This window comes from Homo sapiens, chromosome 1 (genome assembly GCF_000001405.40).
Source record: "Homo sapiens chromosome 1, GRCh38.p14 Primary Assembly".
Lineage (NCBI taxonomy): Eukaryota > Metazoa > Chordata > Mammalia > Primates > Hominidae > Homo > Homo sapiens.
The window spans coordinates 43,673,814-43,689,959 of NC_000001.11; the positions used below are offsets into that span (position 1 = coordinate 43,673,814).

Sequence of the window (16,146 nt, forward strand, 5' to 3'; positions counted from 1 at the left end):
CTGTTGACTACTGTTCACTACAGTTCATGCTGTCCTCTTGCTGAGTCTTCCTGACATTCTTGTTTCTAGTTGCAATCACAATCACAAAAAGCAGCTAAGAAGTAGCAAGAGCTCACTGTATATTAAATACTTTGTTTATCTTTTTTGAGACAGGGTCTTGCTCTGTTGCCCAGGGTAGAGTGCAGTGGCACAGTCTTGGCTCACTGCAACTTCTGCCTTCTGGGTTCAACCCATCCTCCCCACCTCAGCCTCCCAAGTAGCTGGGACTACAGGTGCACACCACCACTCTTGGCCAATTTTTGTATTTTTCGTAGAGATGGGGTTTCAACATGTTGCCCAGACTGGTCTCGAAATCCTGGGTTCAAGTGATCCTCCTCCCTTGATCTCCCAAAGTGCCGTGATTTCAGGTGTGAGCCACTGTGTGCCCCACCGCCCCCCAGCTGTTAAATACTTTATATGCATTGTTCAGTCTTTGTATTACTGCTTAATTAATCTTATTACAGAGTCAAGTTTTTGTGGGAATTTTTTGGGGTGGGAGGTGCAGGAAGCCAATAAATAACACCTGTCCTTTTTCCTCTCAATTCGGAACTATTTAATTGATGATACAAGAGTCAGGCATATGGAGCTCAGAATGTCGCTTTATTTACAAGTTAAAATGATTGAAGAAAGTGACTTTTAACCTGTGACTAAATGGCCCTGCTACTTTTTTTTTTTTTGTGGGGGGACTGAGTCTCGCTCTGTTGCCCAGGCTGGAGTGCAGTGGTGTAATCTTGGCTCACTGCAACCTCCACCTCCTGGGTTCAAGTGATTCTCGTGCCCCAGCCTCCCGAGTAGCTGGGATTACAGGCATGCACCACCACTCCTGGTTAATTTTTGTATTTTTTTTAGTAGAGATGGGGTTTCACCATGTTGGCCAGGCTGGTCTGTAACTCCTGAGTGCCCGCCTCAGCCTCCCAAAGTGCTGAGATTACAGGTGTGAGCCATCGCGCCTGGCCTACTCATTTACTCTTGATGTCTCCAGGCCCCTCTAGAGGCAAAGCATTTCCATGGAAGCACTCAGCTTCCATGTGGTGTGGATGTAGGCCAGAATGCACTCCCTCTCCAAAAGACAGATCCTAGTGAAGTGAAGCACAGCTTTCAAGGGGGTGGGGAGAAGAAAAGCCAGGACTCCTTCCGTGTGGAAGTGTGCTAGGGGAAGGGGTCTTCTCTCTGACATGTCTCTCTTTTTCAGTCCTCTGCTCAAAAACCCTTGAGTGTCTTCTTGGTTCCTTTTTATTTCGGTATGTACTTTTCAGGCCGAGCCTGATGATAATACCCTAATAAATAACCCTCTCTGCTCCATCGCCAACCATCCCTCCACCTCCAACATGTGCTGGCTTGTTTGTTTGAACTACTTAAAAGTCTCTAAAACTGTCTTGGCTGCCCTGCCACTTCCCTCTACTTTCTAATCATTTATGGCATGCCTACTCTAGGCCAGGACTGTGCCTTCAAGGAGCTCACAGTCTAGGATAGATAGGTAAGAGCAAATCATTCCAGTACTTAATGATACGTGTTGTGGTACAAGTGGGAGAGTTAGCAGCTCAGCCTGGGGTTGCAGTGTAGAGTTCTGGACTGCCTGAGAGAAGGAAACAGTTTAGGCCTGAGGTTAGAAGAATGCCAGGTGGACAGAATGAAATCGAAGAGAATCTGGGAGAGGAGGGTGTTCTAAATGCTCATGATAACTCATGCCAGGGTCAAAGCACTTGGGGATCTGCAGTGGTTTAGTTTGTCTCAGGCATATAGGACTGGAGAGGGCCTCAGGTGGTGCTGTTGGGGGATGTCAAGAGCCAGAACCTGGAGGGTCTGCCTTGTTGCTCTGTGAAGCAGTTTGACCTAGTTGTGGTGTAGGGAGCAGCAGAAGGGTCCCCACCATATGCACCATATGGATTTGGAAATTGAAAACTTTCATAATTCATTCTTTTAAACGCACACACAAAGGGCCGGGTGCCGTGGTGCATGCCTGTAATCCTAGCAGTTTGGGAGGCTGAGGCGGGTGGATCACCTGAGGTCAGGAGTTTGAGACCAGCTTGTCCAACATGGCGAAACCCCATCTCTACTAAAAATAGAAAAATTAGCTGGGTGTGGTGGCGGGCGCCTATAATCCCAGCTGCTTGGGAGGCTGAGGCAGGAAAGCGCTTAAACCCTGGGGTGGTGGGGGGCGGAGGTTGCAGTGAGCTGAGATCACACCACTGCACTCCAGTCTGGGCAAAAGAGTGAAACTTTACCTCAAAAAGATAAAAAAAAAAAAAAAAAAGCAAGAAAGAAATGCACACACAAAGATTCAGAGGGAGGCCACGCAGGGTGCCATACACCTGTGGTCCCAGCACTTTGGGAGGCTGAGGTGCGAGAATTGCTTGAGCCTGAGAGGTTGAGGCTGCAATGAGCCGTGACTGTACCATTGCACTACAGCCTGGGTGACAGAATGACACAGTATCTTAGAAAGATGCAGAGCGAATAATACAGTGAACCCACAAATAATTTTTTTTTGAGACGGAGTCTTGCTCTGTCGCCCAGGCTGGAGTGCAGTGGCATGATCTCGGCTCACTGCAACCTCCACCTCCTGGCTTTAAGCAATTCTTTGCCTCAGCCTCCTGAGTAGCTGGGATTACAGGCGCCTGCCACCATGCCCGGCTAATTTTTGTATTTTTAGTAGAGACAGGGTTTCACCATCTTGGCCAGGCTGGTCTTGAACCCCTGCCCTCGTGATCCACCTGCCTCGGCCTCCCAAAGTGATGGGATTGCAGGTGTGAGCCACCATTCTCGGCCAAACCCACAAATATTCTAACAGGTGTCAGGATCTTTCCATATTTGCTTTGTTTGTCCTGTTTTCAATTTGCTGAAGTATTTATATTAAAATTATATTATCTTCATTAGTATATAATGTACATATTTTTGGGGTACATGTTGATACTTTAATACATTAATTTGTAAAGATTAAATCAGTGTAATTGGTAAATGCATCACCTTAAATATTTGTCTTGTCTTTATGCTAGAAACATTCAAATTATTCTATTTTGAAATGTACAATAGATTATTGTAAACTATAGTCACCCTACTGATTTGTCAAACACTAGGTCTTATTTCTTCTATCAGACTATATATTTGTGCCCATTAATCTGCCTCTCTGCTGAAGTATTTGAAAGCACATCCCAGATACCTTGTCATTTCTTCCCTACTTCAGTGTGTATCTCTGAATAATATGGTCATTTTTGGCTGGGCGCAGTGGCTCACACCTGTAATCCCAGCACTCTGGGAGGCCGAGGGGGTGGATCATCTGAGGTCAGGAGTGCGAGACCAGCCTGGCCAACATGGTGAAACCTTGTCTTTACTAAAAATACAAAAATTAGCCAGGCGTGTTGGCGGGTGCCTGTAATCCCAGCTACTCAGGAGGCTGAGGCAGGAGAATTGCTCGAATCTGAGAGGCGGAGGTTGCGCTGAGCTGGGATCTTGCCATTGCACTCCAGCCTGGGCAACAGAGTGAGACTCCATCTCAAAAAAAAAAAAAAAAAAAGGAAAATATGGTCACTTTCTTAGATGATAACTATGCCATTATTATACCTAAGAAAACTACAAAAATTCTTTAGCATAATTTACTATCCAGTCCATAATCAAATTTCCTCATTGTCCAATCTGTTTTACAGTTGATTGGTTTGTATCAGGATTAAATCAAGGCCCACACCTTTGATTTGCCGATGATGTTCTGAAGTCTTCCTTAATGTAGGCCAGCGCCTCTCCCCCTTTTTTCCTCACCATTGACTTAATCAAGAAGCTGTCATTGATTGTCCAGTAAAGGGTTTTTTAAGTACTGCACTGATGTTTTGGAAGATTGTTCTGGAGGCAGTATAAAGATTTTGAGGGGGAGGAAGAAGGAGGCAAAATTAGAAATTGTTTAACAGAGGTTCTCTTGAAGGTGGAATTATGGATGATTTCACTTCCTACATTTATGCATCATTTGAATATTTTTATGATTAACATGTGATTTTTATAACTAAATACTTCTACTTCAGGAAAGGAGGAAAAAAGATTTGAAACAGGGAAACCAATTAGGAACCTGTTTCTTTAGTCTGAGAGAGAGGTAGTGAGGACCTGTAGGTGGTGGTGATAGGGATGGGGAGCAGAAAATGGACTTGAGAGCTACTTGGAAGGTAGGCACATAGGACTGGGTGACTGGATGGGGGTGAGTCAGAGGGTAGCATGGGGCTTGACTCGGGTTTCCAGCTTTGAGTTCTTGGGATAGGTGGTGGTGTCATCCATATAGGATAATGGTTATAAGAAAACTAAAGGGTTTTTAGTGTGGGCCAGGAAATGAGTTGAGTTTGGGTACGTCTAGAGGGGGACTTTTGTGAGGTAGGCTATGGAGACACATAGACATAGCCTTGAAGCTGGGGTGGGAGGGTTGGTCTGTGGGTGTGGGAGTCACCAGGAGGGCACTGGTGGGCATGGAAGAATGTGTGTAGAGTGAAGAACAGTTTCACAGTGTGGGGTGACAGGAGAGGGCCCAGGTAGGAGAATGTGAGGGAGCAGCCAGAGGTCAGGAGAACTAGGAAAGAACAGTGTATCCAGTGCCAGGGCAGGAGAAGAGTTCAAGACAGTGGGAGATATGGCCAAGTGTGCCTTGTATTAAAGGGCAGGGTCCTGCCAAGTGGGGGAAGTTGAAGAGGTAGTGATTGGATTCTGGGGATCTAAGGAAGTGGGAGTGCAGGTGGAGGGACAGGAGGGGATGGCTGCAGATAGGTTTTTTTTTTTTTTTTTTGAGAAAAGGTCTTGCTGTGTTGCCCAGGCTGGAGTGCAGTGGTGCGATCTCAGCTCACCACAGCCTCGACCTCCCAGGCTTAACTGATTCTCCCACCTCAGCCTCTCAAGTAGTTGGGACTATAGGCATGTGCCATCATGCCCAGCTAAGTTTTTTATTTTTGTAGTGATGGGGTATCCTTATGTTGCCTAGGCTGGTCTCAAACTCCTGGGCTCAAGTGATCCTCCTGTCTTGGCCTCCCAAAGTGCTGGGATATAGGCATGAGCCACCACACCCAGCCTGTGTTTTTAAATTGTGGTAATATATACACGGTATGAGATTTACCTGTTTTAACAGTTTTTTTAGTAAACAGTTCAGTGGCAGTAAGTACATTCACTTTGTTGGGCCACTGTCACCAGAATGCAGATGGTTTTGAGGTGGGAGGAGATGGGGAATTTATCTCTGAGGGTCGCCTAGAGTAGTCAGATAACTACCTCTGCTTAGTGCAACCCAGCCCTTTTCAAAAGCCACTACTCTTAGAAACACTTCATTGCTTTCCATCTAGTTCCCTTTCTTCTTTGAAGCCCTAGAGTACTAGTTTCTTAATGCCCTTGCCATAGGCTGGTGAAGAATATAACCTTCTAGAAGCTGGGCCCTGTGCCACATTCATCCTCATTTCTTGAGTTACCAGCACGGTCCAGAGGGCTTGGCCTATGAAACCCTCTGTAATGAGGATGGAATGAGTAAATGGAAGGTCAGGTTTGTTTTAGTAAGAAGCCACCATCAGAATTAATTGACTGGGAGGAATAAGGGACAGATAGTCAAGGTTTGGGGGCAGAAGCTGAGCAACTTTGTCCATCCCTGGAGAGGTCTTATAGCACTGGATCTATATTTGTAGACAACTGGGTTCCTTAGAGCACCCTTATGTTCCCCCACCCCCACTTTAAGCATCCCCAAGCTGTAATCTGGGCTGCCTGCTGTTCAGTTTCCATGCCACCATCTATGTCAAGGGCCTTTTTTAGGTCAGTCTGGTAAACTGCAGTTTTTGGTAAAAGCACCCTGGCTGGCTGACACTGCCGAAACTGTAGAGTTTTCATTACCTACTGACTGAGCCACAGCCATATGTCTGCTGCAGAAGTTCTTGTTAGTTCAAGCTACTTTGAAAAGTGAGTTCCCAAAACAAGGTGGGAGAACAATTGGTTCTTCTCTGTACAGAATAAACCCTATCAGGAACACTAACCTTGACCCTGGTGCCAGATGTTGGATGAGGGAGGAAAGAACTCAGGAGCCTTGAGTTCCAGCTTTCTTCAGGCAGGGCCCTGGGAGTCTGCCTGCTATCCCGCCCTGTCTGCAAAAAGAGCCCTCTGGGGAAGGGTTTATTACTACCGTTTTACTGGTGGGGCTGCTACTCATCCAGGCTCACACAGCTGCTAGTTGGTCGAACCCTGACCTTTCTGTTATATACTGAGGGAATTTAGAAACTGGAGCAATCCCAGGGAAGGCAGCACCATGAGAAGGGTGCGGATGCCATGGTAGCAGGAGGAGTACTGTCCAGGAGATGAGGAAATGTGAAAAGATATTCAAATCTTTGAATGGACCTGACTACTTTGGTCAGAGGCAGCATGACGGTAGTGGAAAGGGCTCAGACTTCGGACTTGGACACCAGGTCTCCCTCCCTGAGGTTAGAGATCACGTCTTGTTTTTCTCTGCATTGCCAAAACAAGTATTCCCACCGTATACTGGGTATATAAGAGGTGCTGTGAATATACTGATCATGGAAAAGGTGTCCTCTTCCCTTCCCAAGCTGCATTCTGGTGTTCTTGACCTTCACCCTTCCACCTCCTTTGGAACTTGGATCTTAGGTACCTCCTACCCTGTATTTGTTTCCTATTGCTGCTATAACAAGGTACCACAAACACAGAGGCTGAAACACTTGTTCTCTTATGGTTCTTCAGTTCAGAAGTCTGAAATGGGTTTCACTGAGCTAAAGTGAAGGCATCAGCAGGGCTGTGTACCTTCCTGGAGGCTCTCAGGGGAGGACCCATTTCCTTGCCCTTTCCAGCCTCCCTGGGCTGCCCACATTCCTTGGCTCCTGGACCTCTAGGTCCATTGTCAAAGGCAGCGGCATCCAGCCAAGTGTCTCTGGCATCACATCACTCGGACAGACTCTTCTGCTTCCTTCTTCTGTTGTAAGCCCCATTGGGATTACATTGGGCCCACCTGGATGATCCAGGGTACGCTCCCTATTTTAAACACTATCTGATTAGCAATCTTAATTCTCCTTTACCATGTTAGAATAACATATTCACAGGGATTGGGATGTGGGCATATTGGGGAACCATTATTCTCTCTACCAAATATCCTACTATCTCCCTTTCACAAGCTGCTGCTTTGCCTATAAAGCCAAGCTCATGAAGCCCCTATCATAGCTAAAATACAATTCTAGAGGAAATTTCCTTCTCAAACTATGATCTCATTTTTCCCTTGATCTTCTCAAAAATACTCCACGACGTATTCACTCCTTAGTTTCTTATTCTTTGTCCACCGGAACTTATCTCAAAAAACAGTCCTCATAGCTCCCCGTTGCTGAGTGAGTCCCTTGGCCACTTCCCTGCTCAGCTCTTCTATGTTCTTTGACCTGTGGATCTCCCCCTCCCTGAAGCCGTCCCCTTCTTCTCTTTCTGGTATTCCTCTTACCTGTCTGCTTCTGAGTCTCCTTTTCTCCCTTCTCTTCTTCCTCCTGTCCCTGGAAGGCTTAGTCAATTCATCATCCAAGACAATCTCATCTTCTCCCACCATTGTAATTCTGAACCTGGTGCTGCGGATTCCCAGATCTTGCTCTGACTTCTTTTCTGAACCCCCAGTCTGAATTTCTTATTGCCTCCCCTGGGTATTTCCAAATGAAAAGACCCTTGGGTACATGTTGTGTACCCTACACAGCTTGTTTAACCTGGTTTGTTATTAGCCCCCACTTCCTCCACATGAGCCCTCTTAAAGCCTGTCACCTTGGTGGTCCAGGCTAGAAATCCCCACCGTTTCTGGCTTCTTTATTCCCATCCTTTTTTTCCCTAGTCTGCCACAGCCCACAGGTTTAGGCCTATTGTCCAGGTGCCCCCAAAGTGATGGCGGGGGCAGGTCGGGGGGAAACAAGAATATTATTGGGGTATAGGAATAAAGCAAAATGAACTTTGTTTTTATCTTAACCTTTTATAGTCTGTTTTTGCTTTAAAATATGCATATGTGCATTAATATTAGTATATGTAATTGATTAGTAAGTAATATATAGGTTGGGGGTACATGCTCCTAAATTTTCTATTTACATGGTTAAGACTGTCGGGCAAGTATGGGTTTTCCAGTTTGTTTTAGCCAAAGAACCCTTTTACTTACTTACTTATTGATTGGAGACAAAGTCTCACTTCTGTCACCCAGGCTGGAGTGCAGTGGTGCAGTCTCAGCTCACTGCAGCCTTGACCTTCCGGGCTCAGGTAATCCTCCCATCTCAGCCTCTTGAGTAGCTGGGACTACAGGTGCATGCCACCACACCTGAATTTTTTTGTGTGTGGAGACGGGGTGTTGCCATGTTATCTGGGCTCAAGGGATCCGCCTACCTCAGCCTCCCAAAGTGCTGGGATTATAGGCGTGAGCCACTGTGCCTGGCCAGAACCCTTTCTTTAAGTGAAATCTTAATTAAAACATAAATCAAAAGCAGAGCCATTCTGGTTGGAAAGAAGATGGGGCCTCTAGCCCTTTTTGTTCACTGTAATGGAGGCTCCTGAGGTGCTTTCCGGATGTACGTTTTGAAAACCATGGGTTTAGACAGTTGATATAGTTCCGGTCTGATTAAGTCTATGGTCATGTAAGTCTTCATGGACATCAGTAGGAAAAGGTCCCTGATATCCTCACTCCACCATATTCCTCCATACTGCTGCAGCATCCTTACTCACGTAAGCACAGATCACATCTTCTTTGCTTCTCTACACCTTCTTCTTTTCCTGGGCAGGCCTTTGCACACAGTAGGTGCCCAGTGAATATTTGTTGAATGAATGGCAAATGGATGGCAAAACTTGTTGGCAAAATGTATGTTTGGAAGAGCAGGTTCTGTTTTTCCTGGACATGGCCTGTTCAGAAGTTGTTTTCTCTTGGCATTCCAACTGTGGTCCTTAACTCCTGGGGCTCTGTGTAGTTGCACATGGAGTCTGTAGGCCCAGGGTGTGTTCTCTGAAGTAGCACTGCAGCATTTATGGCATTGGTTTTTGTCACAGTTGCAAAGTGGCCCTCTTTCAGGCCTCATTTCCTTGCTTAATGGATTTTGCTAACCCTGCATCTCCTGATGTCAGTATAACCAAGTTTTAAATACGTTGATTAGAAAGAAACCCTTCTGTAGTGTTTCTGAGTCAATCCTGTACATTTAAATCTAATTACATTTGCTCTGACATTATGTAAATGCAGTCTTAAATCAACCTTTCCCTTTGCAAGCCAGGCCAGAGTTTCAGATGCACTTTCTGTCCTGGCTGATGTTCTCCCCTGGAGAAGCAGCAGCTAACTGAGGAATGAACAGTATCTGCTAGCGCGAAGTCTTGGCAGTGTATAAGGAGAAGGTGGCCTATTTTACTTTTAATAGGTCAGCTGCTGCTCACCCCTTTGGGTGTCCCCTAGACACTCCTGGGTGGCCCAGCTGCCTGGCACATTGTAACAGGTACTGTTGACCTACTGGGCCAAGGAAAGGGGCACCTAGGCTCCTTGGGGGCTCTCTCACTTGGGCCACCTTGGTAGTCTCATAGCAGTGAGCTTAAGGGACCGGGCAAGCCTCTCTCAGAGCTGGAGCAGGCTTGTTTTTGGTACACTGGTTTCAGGCTGCTCCTAAGAAGGCCAAGAACTACACTTGGGTTTTGCCCTAAATTTACATAATCCTGGTTCAGACTAGTTTGGTACGTGGTATTGTCATTTGGCTTTTTCTAAGATAGGTATTTTCTGTTTGGTATTATATGTCTTTTTGTTTCTCTGTGCCCCTCTCTTTCCTTTGGTTTTCATTGTAAGGGTGACTTGTGCTGTGTCTCAAGTGGAGACAAGACCAATTTAATTTCTTGTGGTTTGCCCAGGTTGCAGATGAATACATGTTTTCCCTAGAAGAGAATAAGAAGTCCAAGGGACGCCGTCAGCCTTTAAGCAAGCTCCCCCGCCATCACCCACTTGTGCTGCAGGAGTGTGTCAGTGATGATGGTAAGTGTTGTTTTTTCTTCACCAGGAGGAAAGCAGCTCACCACATTAGACTTGACAGGACAGGACATCAGAAGGCCAAGCTGAGGGATAAGGGTGGGCCTGTGGCTTAGCTGCTCTTCCAGATATTCCATAAAGAGAGGACCGGATTTCCTTATATCTAATTGACTAACCAGATTCCATTATAAGTTTGAGTATCTTGCAGTGTACCTTAATAGGGGATAATTGCAGGCAGGTTTTTTCCTTTCTTTTCCTGGGAGGTACAAGGCTGATTTTTCAGGACAGAAAATCCTGTCAGTGATGCAAAGCCCTGTGGTGTATATGTGGCTGCAAAGATAACTAAGATATGTCCGTGCCCTCAAGACACTCACAGGGTGGTGGGGAAACTGGACAGGTAAACAGATCTCAAGAAAGAAGAGGTGGCCGGGTGTGGTGGCTCATGCCTGTAATCCCAGCACTTTGGAAAGCCAAGGTGGGCGGATCATGAGGTCAGGAGATCGAGACCATCCTGGCTAACACGTGAAACCCCATCTCTACTAAAACTACAAAAAAGTAGCCGGGTGTCATGGCACGCGCCTGTAGTCCCAGCTACTCAGGAGGCTGAAGCAGGAGAATTGCTCGAACCCAGGAGGCAGAGGTTGCAGTGAGCCGAGATGGTGCCACTGCACTCCAGCCTGGGCGACAGAGCGAGATGCCATCTCAAAAAAAAACAGAAGAGGTGTTACTCTGGGGCAGAAGGACAGCATGCTATGGAGAAGAGGAGCAGGAGGCTGTAGTCAGAGGAACTACAGTCAGCTCAGTGTGGCTGGAGCTGGAGGGCAAGGCCAGGGAGTGATAGGTGGAGTAGGAGGAGGGGGACCAGATCCTGGATAGCGTTATCATGGAGGCCAGAGTGAGGACTTTGTCTTACTGGCATTCAGGAGCCAGTGACATGTTTTAAGCAGAGGAATGACAGAGTCATTTAGATTCCTTTAGAAAAGATCGCTCCTAGTGCTGGCATCTTGAGGATGGCTTTGAGAGGACCACATAGGCTTCCGTAATGGTCTGCCTGCAATATGAAGGTCTGAAGTAGGATGGTGGTGGTAGGGAATATATTTGGAAGATAAAATCAACTGGATTTGGTGACTGGCTGTGAAGCTATGAGGATGGTAGTTGAGGAGGATGAGTTGAGTGCCTCCCCGGTTTGTAGCTTTGGTTGGGGAAACCTGAGTTCAGTGTCTATGGAGGATGTAGACTTAGGAGTTGGCACTGAGGTGACATTGGATACAATTGTTGGAATAATGAGGCCGATCTTGGGGAGGGGACCAAGGGGGGTGAGCAGACGCTGGGGCTAGGTGGACAGAGGAGGGAGGGGAGCCTGTGAAGGAGGCAGAGAAGCAGGGTAAGCAGCCATGTGTAAGGAAAACCAGGAAATGTGGCACTGAAGCTCAGGGTGTGTTGACATCAGTGGAGCATGGTCTCCTTGGCTGCCTGAAGCCCAGAGATCCAGGATGATCATCACTGCCGAGCCTCAGCTCCAGCTTGGTTGGTGACTGGGCCCTGTCACCTTCAGGGAGAGCAGAGTCAATCGTACATGTTACTCTTGACTAACATCAGGCCCTGTCCTACCTGGTCCTCTCCTTCCTGATCTGATGTCAGTGCCCCATCTCTGCTGTTTTTTTTTTTCAGTAGAAAGATCATGGTATAGCCGGGCGTGGTGGCTCACACCTGTAATCTCAGCACTTTGGGAGGCCGAGGCGGGTGGATCACAAGGTCAGGAGATCGAGACCATCCTGGCTAACATGGTGAAACACCATCTCTACTAAAAATACAAAAAATTAGCTGGGCATGGTGGTGAGCGCCTGTAGTCCCAGCTACTCGGGAGGCTGAGGCAGGAGAATGGCATGAACCCAGGAGGCAGAATTTGCAGTGAGCTGAGACCATGCCACTGCACTCCAGCCTGGGCGACAGCGAGTCTCTGTCTCAACAACAACAACAACAAAAAAGATCATGATAAACAGGGTGGGGAATATCCCTTCTGTCCTCCAGTCAGAAGTGTGGCAGGACCCTGAGTCAGGTCCTAGGAAGTTCTCTGTGTTCTTATTCCAGCTCAGACAGGAGCTTCAGGTTCTCTGGGTAGCACCTGCCTATCTCCCTGATTGGTTTAAAGCAATATAGACTTCAGGAAACTGGAAAAGTTACCAAGAGGAATACAAAATTACCCTTAAAAGATGACCATTTTGAATATATTAACATATTATCTTCCTGGCTTTTCTCTAGTCAGATATTAGAGTATGTCCATGTATATCTTTTTAAAATAATGCAGTTGAGATAATACACAACCTCTCCCCCTACTTTTTTTTGTTTCTTGTTTTTTTTTTTTTTTTTTTTTGAGAAGGAGTCTCACTTACTCTGTTGCCCAGGCTGGAGTGCAGTGGTGTGATCTTGGCTTACTGCAACCTCTGCCTCCTGGTCTCGAACTCCTGACCTTGTGATCCACCCACCTCGGCCTCCCAAAGTGCTGGGATTACAGGCGTGAGCCACCACGCCCAGCCTTTTTTTTTTTTTTTGAGACGGAGTCTTACTCACTCTGTTGCCCAGGCTGGAGTGCAGTGGCATGATCTTGGCTCACTGCAACCTCTGCCTCCTGGGTTCAAGTGATTCTCCTGCCTCAGCCTCCCGAGTAGCTAGGATTACAGGTGTGTGCTACGACGCCCAGCTAATTTTTGTATCTTTAGTAGAGACGGGGTTTCACCATGTTGGCCAGGCTTGTCTCGAACTCCTGACCTCAAGTGATCTGCCCGCTTCAGCCTCCCAAAGTGCTGGGATTACAGGCGTGAGCCACCGCACCCAGCCCCACAATATCCTTTAATCTTCAGTCCATGCCCATCTTTCCCTGCATGTCCCAAGAATGTGTTTTATAGTTATTTCTTTTGAACTCTAATATAAATCAAACTAAGGTCACATACTGTATTTGGAAGTTATGTTTCTTTACTGTTGTATGCCCCTCCCCCTACTTTTAAAAAAATTTCAATTCAAGCATAACAATTCAGTGATATGCACACATTTTAACTGTACAGCTCAATGAAATTTTACATATGTAAACTGTATAATTTTGCTTCCTGCAATTTTCACTTAACGTAGTGAACATTTTCCCTCATCATTCAGTATTCACAAATGGAATGATCTGGGGCCACTTTTGGCTTTGTAAATGGAACAGATGTCAGTGTGTTAATTTTTTAGTTGTGAGTGTGAGCCTGCCTGTCTGTTTCTGTTTCTTCCATTCTATCTTGGTCACTCCTGTTTGGCCAGGATAAAGAAAAAAATCTGTGCTTGGGTTCTGGGCACCATGGCTCCTGATTACAACTGAACGATGGGGCATATAGGGGTTGATTTTAATTGTCTGCGTTGGTGTCCTTAGGGTACACTGAGGCGGCGCACAATGGCAGCTGCCAGATGCCTTCAGATTAAACATGACTATGAGGGCAGCGTAGAATACTATCTGCACTGAGCTGGAGTTGCCAGAAATGAAGAAACAGGCACCTAATGGAAGTACAGACCAGAGCTTTCCTTGGCTGCTTGGAACAGGTTTCAGGGGCCTTTGGGAAAGCACCTCTGTTTGGGAAGAAGGAGGGTCATAGCTGGGGACTGATGATGCCATTCAAAGCGAGATGCATGGATCCCCTGGGATGCCCCGTGTGATGGGGCTGGCAGAGAGCCAGTCTCCTGTCAGGGGCCGCATACTTGGGCCTTGCTTGGTCACACTTGCCAAAGAAAGGCATAGCAACTCTAGCTTCATACCTCCCTCACATGGTAGAGCATCTGGAGAAACATTTTGGACATCTACCAAAGACTGCGCTCATTTACTTATACCTTCAGAATTATGGCGTTTCCTTTACTTCCCTGTTTCTGTTTCCTTGTTTCTGCTGGGAGCTTGTGGACTATGCCCCTGTTTCACTGATTTAGGAAGAACTGGGAAGTGTGCACCTTTATCACTTACATGAGTTTTGTGAGCAAACTTTTTTTGTTTTCCACTCAGCAGTATGTCCCCTTTCTTGTAGGAAGATGCACCCAGAGGGGATTTTTCCTTCCCAGGCCTTAGTGAAGTCTGATGAGTTGTATGCCCTGCTGTCTAGCATACCTAGGAGACACCATCTGTCATGACCAGGGATATATAAAGGGCCAGGAAGTCAGTATTTTAGGCTTTACAGTCTTCATTGGTCTCTGTGGTTGTCACTGTTTTTTTTTTTTAAGCCCCAATGCTGAAAATGTAAAAACAAAGCTGGGTGCAGTGGCTCATGCCTGTAGTCCAAGCTACTTGGGCAGCTGTGATGGGAGGATCACTTGAGCCCAGGAGTTTGAGGCTGTGGTGAGCTATGATCGCACATGTAAATAGCCACTGTACTCCAGCCTGGGCAACATAGCAAGACCCCATCATAAAAATGTAAAAACAATTCTTAGCTTCCTCAGTGGGCTGGATTCAGCCTGCAGGATATTGTTTGCCAGCGTCAGGCATCACATCTTGTGGCTGGGAAGAGGATTCATCTTGGACATGTAGCTCTGCTCTAGGAGGGGTTGGGGAGCCTTGTCCAGAATAGGTACATACTGCTGACCTTTCCAGAGGAAGCTGGTAAGTCCTGGCCAAGGACCATGATATTACAACTTTTAAGCTTTGCCAATTCCCTGTTATTTTCCTTCCTTGTTTAGTTGCACTAAAGGGAAAACTCTAAAAGGTAAAGGACTTAACAGGCTGACGTTTTGGAGGCAGCAAATAAGATGGTTTTTGGCAAGATGGTGCTTCATTCTGCTGTCCTTGGGCAGAAGGGCTGAATGTGGCAGCTGTTAAGGGAGAGTAGAGCAAGCTGAGCTCGTGGGGCAGGAGGAAGAATGGAGGCCATGAGTCAGTCTGGCCAGAGAATGGGGTACTGGCAGGACTCCCTACACATCATCAAGATACTGAAGGAGTCTATTGACAGTTGCTTCCACCCTTTGCCTTTATCATCCTTAGGAATTCAGGAGTCACCCTTGGTCCAAACCTAGGATCAGGAGTCCTAGTGGAACTCATCTGTTCTCCAGGCAGAGCCACAGATGTGCAGGGTTAGTGCTGACTCACACTTCTGTTTCCTCCTCTAGAGACATCTGAACAGCTGACCCCTGAGGAAGAGGCTGAGGAGACAGAGGCCTGGGCCAAGCCTCTGAGCCAACTGTGGCAGAACCGACCTCCAAACTTTGAGGCTGAGAAGGAATTCAATGAGACCATGGCCCAACAGGCCCCTCACTGCGCTGTCTGTATGATCTTCCAGACTTATCATCAGGTAACCCAGCTCCATGCACTCTGTTTACCCAGGACCAGCAATCATAGGGAAGCTAGATTTAATTGTGAGTATATAGCTTGTCACTGGTTGTCTTGGGAAAGGCCACCTCCACCCCCAGCATTCTCTGCCCCATCTGTGTATTGGTCAGTCTTCTCCAGGCAGATAACCCAGCAACGTGGGTTTCAATTGAGAATGCTTTGGAGATGAGCTGAGGGTGGGCTTAGGCTCCCCTTTGCACATGCAGTCATCACAGACATCAGTTTGCAGAGCAATCTGCATTTCTGTTATTCTAGTCCGTGGTTATTCCTGCCAAGTGGTTTATAGTCCTGGCCAGGGTGGAGAACTGTGATTTCCTTACCACAGTCTGAACCTCAGCTGAAAAGCCAGATCCTCTAATGTTGTTTTTCCTTTCCCATTGCCACAATGCGTGTTGCCAGTAGCAGAAGGAACTTGGGAGGGGTGGAAGCAAGGGCCTGATATGTGAGGAGGGGCTGGGAAGCAAGATTGCTGAGCTCAGCTGTGTGCCTCCTGCTCTGGGGCATCTGTGGCTTCATTGGTGGATCTCTTTGGGTCCAGCTCTAGGATGCCAGGAAGGCATTCACAGCAGCAGGTGCCAAGGGACCAGCTCAGTCTCAGCTGGGACCTGCACAGCATAGCAGGTAGGTAAGTGGTCCTTACCTGCTGTGGTGGTTAAAGTGGCATGGCTGCCGCTGAGCCTGGCAGGGCCCCAGATTCATGCTTGCTGAAAATGGAACCTCAGACCAACACACTTTGGATTAGGAACTCACTAAACCTTTCCATTGACAAAAAGCAAAACCAAAGCCTTTGCCTATGAGGGGAGTGAATGGCTGGGTTCTTACTATA

At 47.0% G+C, this 16,146-nt stretch overlaps 1 protein-coding gene across 1 annotated transcript in view, besides 1 other annotated feature; it reads left to right on the top strand.

The window, feature by feature from the left end:
* Positions 1-16,146, top strand: part of KDM4A (lysine demethylase 4A) — a 55,370-nt gene that overhangs the window by 23,665 nt on the left and 15,559 nt on the right. The window contains exons 12-13 of the mRNA NM_014663.3: positions 9,871-9,991; positions 15,101-15,282. Coding sequence (NP_055478.2) covers positions 9,871-9,991; positions 15,101-15,282 — 303 coding nt within the window. The remainder of the gene's footprint in view (positions 1-9,870; positions 9,992-15,100; positions 15,283-16,146) is intronic.
* Positions 3,260-3,436: a silencer, noted in NCBI's record as "fragment chr1:44142744-44142920 (GRCh37/hg19 assembly coordinates)". NCBI's record gives its function as "represses an EF-1alpha promoter that drives an FKBP-Casp9 reporter gene in an ReSE screen in K562 erythroleukemia cells {active_cell/tissue: K562}" and the evidence as "EXISTENCE:reporter gene assay evidence [ECO:0000049][PMID:32094911]".